General features: G+C 44.5%; 20 protein-coding genes and 1 further gene across 22 annotated transcripts in view; all 21 read right to left on the bottom strand.

Annotated features, from left to right (window-relative positions):
• Positions 1–1,647, bottom strand: part of PCDHGA1 (protocadherin gamma subfamily A, 1) — a 182,462-nt gene that overhangs the window by 28,075 nt on the left and 152,740 nt on the right. The gene's annotated exons all lie outside the window — the stretch shown is intronic.
• Positions 1–1,647, bottom strand: part of PCDHG@ (protocadherin gamma cluster) — a 182,295-nt gene that overhangs the window by 28,079 nt on the left and 152,569 nt on the right.
• The window catches only part of PCDHGA2 (protocadherin gamma subfamily A, 2), a 174,216-nt gene that overhangs the window by 28,075 nt on the left and 144,494 nt on the right, over positions 1–1,647 (bottom strand). The gene's annotated exons all lie outside the window — the stretch shown is intronic.
• Positions 1–1,647, bottom strand: part of PCDHGA3 (protocadherin gamma subfamily A, 3) — a 169,147-nt gene that overhangs the window by 28,075 nt on the left and 139,425 nt on the right. The window lies entirely within an intron of this gene.
• The window catches only part of PCDHGB1 (protocadherin gamma subfamily B, 1), a 162,877-nt gene that overhangs the window by 28,075 nt on the left and 133,155 nt on the right, over positions 1–1,647 (bottom strand). The window lies entirely within an intron of this gene.
• Positions 1–1,647, bottom strand: part of PCDHGA4 (protocadherin gamma subfamily A, 4) — a 157,955-nt gene that overhangs the window by 28,075 nt on the left and 128,233 nt on the right. The gene's annotated exons all lie outside the window — the stretch shown is intronic.
• The window catches only part of PCDHGB2 (protocadherin gamma subfamily B, 2), a 152,982-nt gene that overhangs the window by 28,075 nt on the left and 123,260 nt on the right, over positions 1–1,647 (bottom strand). The gene's annotated exons all lie outside the window — the stretch shown is intronic.
• PCDHGA5 (protocadherin gamma subfamily A, 5) overlaps positions 1–1,647 on the bottom strand; it is a 148,814-nt gene that overhangs the window by 28,075 nt on the left and 119,092 nt on the right. The window lies entirely within an intron of this gene.
• The window catches only part of PCDHGB3 (protocadherin gamma subfamily B, 3), a 142,734-nt gene that overhangs the window by 28,075 nt on the left and 113,012 nt on the right, over positions 1–1,647 (bottom strand). The gene's annotated exons all lie outside the window — the stretch shown is intronic.
• Positions 1–1,647, bottom strand: part of PCDHGA6 (protocadherin gamma subfamily A, 6) — a 139,085-nt gene that overhangs the window by 28,075 nt on the left and 109,363 nt on the right. The gene's annotated exons all lie outside the window — the stretch shown is intronic.
• PCDHGA7 (protocadherin gamma subfamily A, 7) overlaps positions 1–1,647 on the bottom strand; it is a 130,234-nt gene that overhangs the window by 28,075 nt on the left and 100,512 nt on the right. The gene's annotated exons all lie outside the window — the stretch shown is intronic.
• PCDHGB4 (protocadherin gamma subfamily B, 4) overlaps positions 1–1,647 on the bottom strand; it is a 125,278-nt gene that overhangs the window by 28,075 nt on the left and 95,556 nt on the right. The window lies entirely within an intron of this gene.
• The window catches only part of PCDHGA8 (protocadherin gamma subfamily A, 8), a 120,343-nt gene that overhangs the window by 28,075 nt on the left and 90,621 nt on the right, over positions 1–1,647 (bottom strand). The gene's annotated exons all lie outside the window — the stretch shown is intronic.
• PCDHGB5 (protocadherin gamma subfamily B, 5) overlaps positions 1–1,647 on the bottom strand; it is a 115,029-nt gene that overhangs the window by 28,075 nt on the left and 85,307 nt on the right. The window lies entirely within an intron of this gene.
• PCDHGA9 (protocadherin gamma subfamily A, 9) overlaps positions 1–1,647 on the bottom strand; it is a 110,198-nt gene that overhangs the window by 28,075 nt on the left and 80,476 nt on the right. The window lies entirely within an intron of this gene.
• The window catches only part of PCDHGB6 (protocadherin gamma subfamily B, 6), a 104,955-nt gene that overhangs the window by 28,075 nt on the left and 75,233 nt on the right, over positions 1–1,647 (bottom strand). The gene's annotated exons all lie outside the window — the stretch shown is intronic.
• PCDHGA10 (protocadherin gamma subfamily A, 10) overlaps positions 1–1,647 on the bottom strand; it is a 99,989-nt gene that overhangs the window by 28,075 nt on the left and 70,267 nt on the right. The window lies entirely within an intron of this gene.
• PCDHGB7 (protocadherin gamma subfamily B, 7) overlaps positions 1–1,647 on the bottom strand; it is a 95,299-nt gene that overhangs the window by 28,075 nt on the left and 65,577 nt on the right. The gene's annotated exons all lie outside the window — the stretch shown is intronic.
• Positions 1–1,647, bottom strand: part of PCDHGA11 (protocadherin gamma subfamily A, 11) — a 91,925-nt gene that overhangs the window by 28,075 nt on the left and 62,203 nt on the right. The gene's annotated exons all lie outside the window — the stretch shown is intronic.
• PCDHGA12 (protocadherin gamma subfamily A, 12) overlaps positions 1–1,647 on the bottom strand; it is an 82,469-nt gene that overhangs the window by 28,075 nt on the left and 52,747 nt on the right. The gene's annotated exons all lie outside the window — the stretch shown is intronic.
• Positions 1–1,647, bottom strand: part of PCDHGC3 (protocadherin gamma subfamily C, 3) — a 37,010-nt gene that overhangs the window by 28,075 nt on the left and 7,288 nt on the right. The gene's annotated exons all lie outside the window — the stretch shown is intronic.

Raw genomic sequence — 1,647 nt, 5'->3', positions numbered from 1 at the left:
CATTGGAGGGGAAAAAGCCCACCCTATCCTCCACGCTCCCCCACCCCCCAAAAAACCCAGCCTATCTTTTCGCCTTCCTCCCGCTCAACGGCATGTTTTTCCACGGGTTGTTATCTCTGTGGGGAGGCAGACAACATATATATATATATACATTTTTTTTCCTAACACACCGACTGACCCCGCCCCTTTTCGGCGGGGAAAACAGCCACAGCCTGAGCCCTAGCAACCTGCGGCCCACTGAGAGGGAGAGTAGCCATTGGAGAGTGGTCACTTTGTTCAAGCCAGTGTTGTCATCAACCAGTATTCTAAATGAGTAGCTTCCGTCTCAGTCTGATTGTATTGGAGCAACTGCTAATTAGAACCACTGCCATATACTCAAAACTCTGCCCTTCTGCAGAATATTCAGAAACGGATCCATCTCTTTGCAGAAAAGGCTTACACATTAACGTAGCCAATTAAATTTATGCAGTACATGTTCTCATTGTAACAGGAGACACAGCGGAAACCAAACCTTTCTTATTCAGACATTTGCTAGTGATACACTAGATACACTAAATTACCATTCATTGATTTCAAGGACAGTATGGAAGCGGGGTGGAGGAAGCCAGGAGAGGGAGATGTTTCAAAACAGTAAAGAATCAGTGTGTCTGGGAGGTGCTAAGGACCAGATCTCTTTACCTGGCAGAATGCTAATGTTCATAGATTTAATAGCTTCCTTGAATGATTGAGATCAGCTACCAACAGCATTGTGCCTACAAATTCCCTTTATCTGACACCAAGGTATTCTTGATCTTTTGTTAATTACCAACGAAGACCATTTCAAAAGAGCAAGCTTTTCACTTAGCCCCAGGGGACCTCTTGGAGCTGGAGACTTGATCTCACCCCACCCCCACCCTCATCCAGACCTCCCAGCAACCTAGCTACTCCCTTGCACAAGCACAGAAACACAACACAATTCACACCGTAGGTACCTACGACCTGCAATCTGAGTGGGAAACACACCAGAGCTCAGAGAAATAGAAAAATCCATCCTGATCTGGACATGAAATTTCTTAATTCAACCAAGTCCTTACCTAGGTTACACTGGCTGCCAAAAAAAGCAGCAACAACTGGAGTTCTTATCCTTCCCCAATATTTTTCCAAGCCTCGATCCTCAGGAATATCCTTTTGACTATGGTGGGAACCAATATTCTGGTGTCAAAAAGAGGAATCTGGCTTTCTGTGTTCTTTTACACACACACACACACACACAAACACACACCCCTCTATACCTTCTCCCATGGGAATGATGGAGGTGTAAACCAGCCTGACCTATTAGGTGTTTATGCCAGAATTCACTGTCTCTGTGAATGGCACTGTCAACCACCCAGCTTCCTTAGTCAGGATCTAGGGGGATCAGCCTTGACTCATCCCTGTCCCTCACTTCCTATATCATGTCAATCAACAAGTCCTGATGATTTTATTGTAGTCAGCTCCCTCCATCTGTACTGCCACTGTGCTGGTTCAAGCATTTATCAATCTTCTCTTCAAATATTGCAATAGCTTTCAAACTATTGCAAAGAGATAAGATCTCTTTGCCTCCAGTCCCAATGTCCCCAGTCCCTTCACTTATGACTGACAGAATAATATTTCTAAAACAAAAAAACC

This window comes from Homo sapiens, chromosome 5 (genome assembly GCF_000001405.40).
Source record: "Homo sapiens chromosome 5, GRCh38.p14 Primary Assembly".
In the NCBI taxonomy this organism is placed as follows: domain Eukaryota; kingdom Metazoa; phylum Chordata; class Mammalia; order Primates; family Hominidae; genus Homo; species Homo sapiens.
The sequence above is the reverse complement of the archived record's forward strand: the minus strand, read 5'-3'. Positions and strand labels throughout refer to the sequence as shown.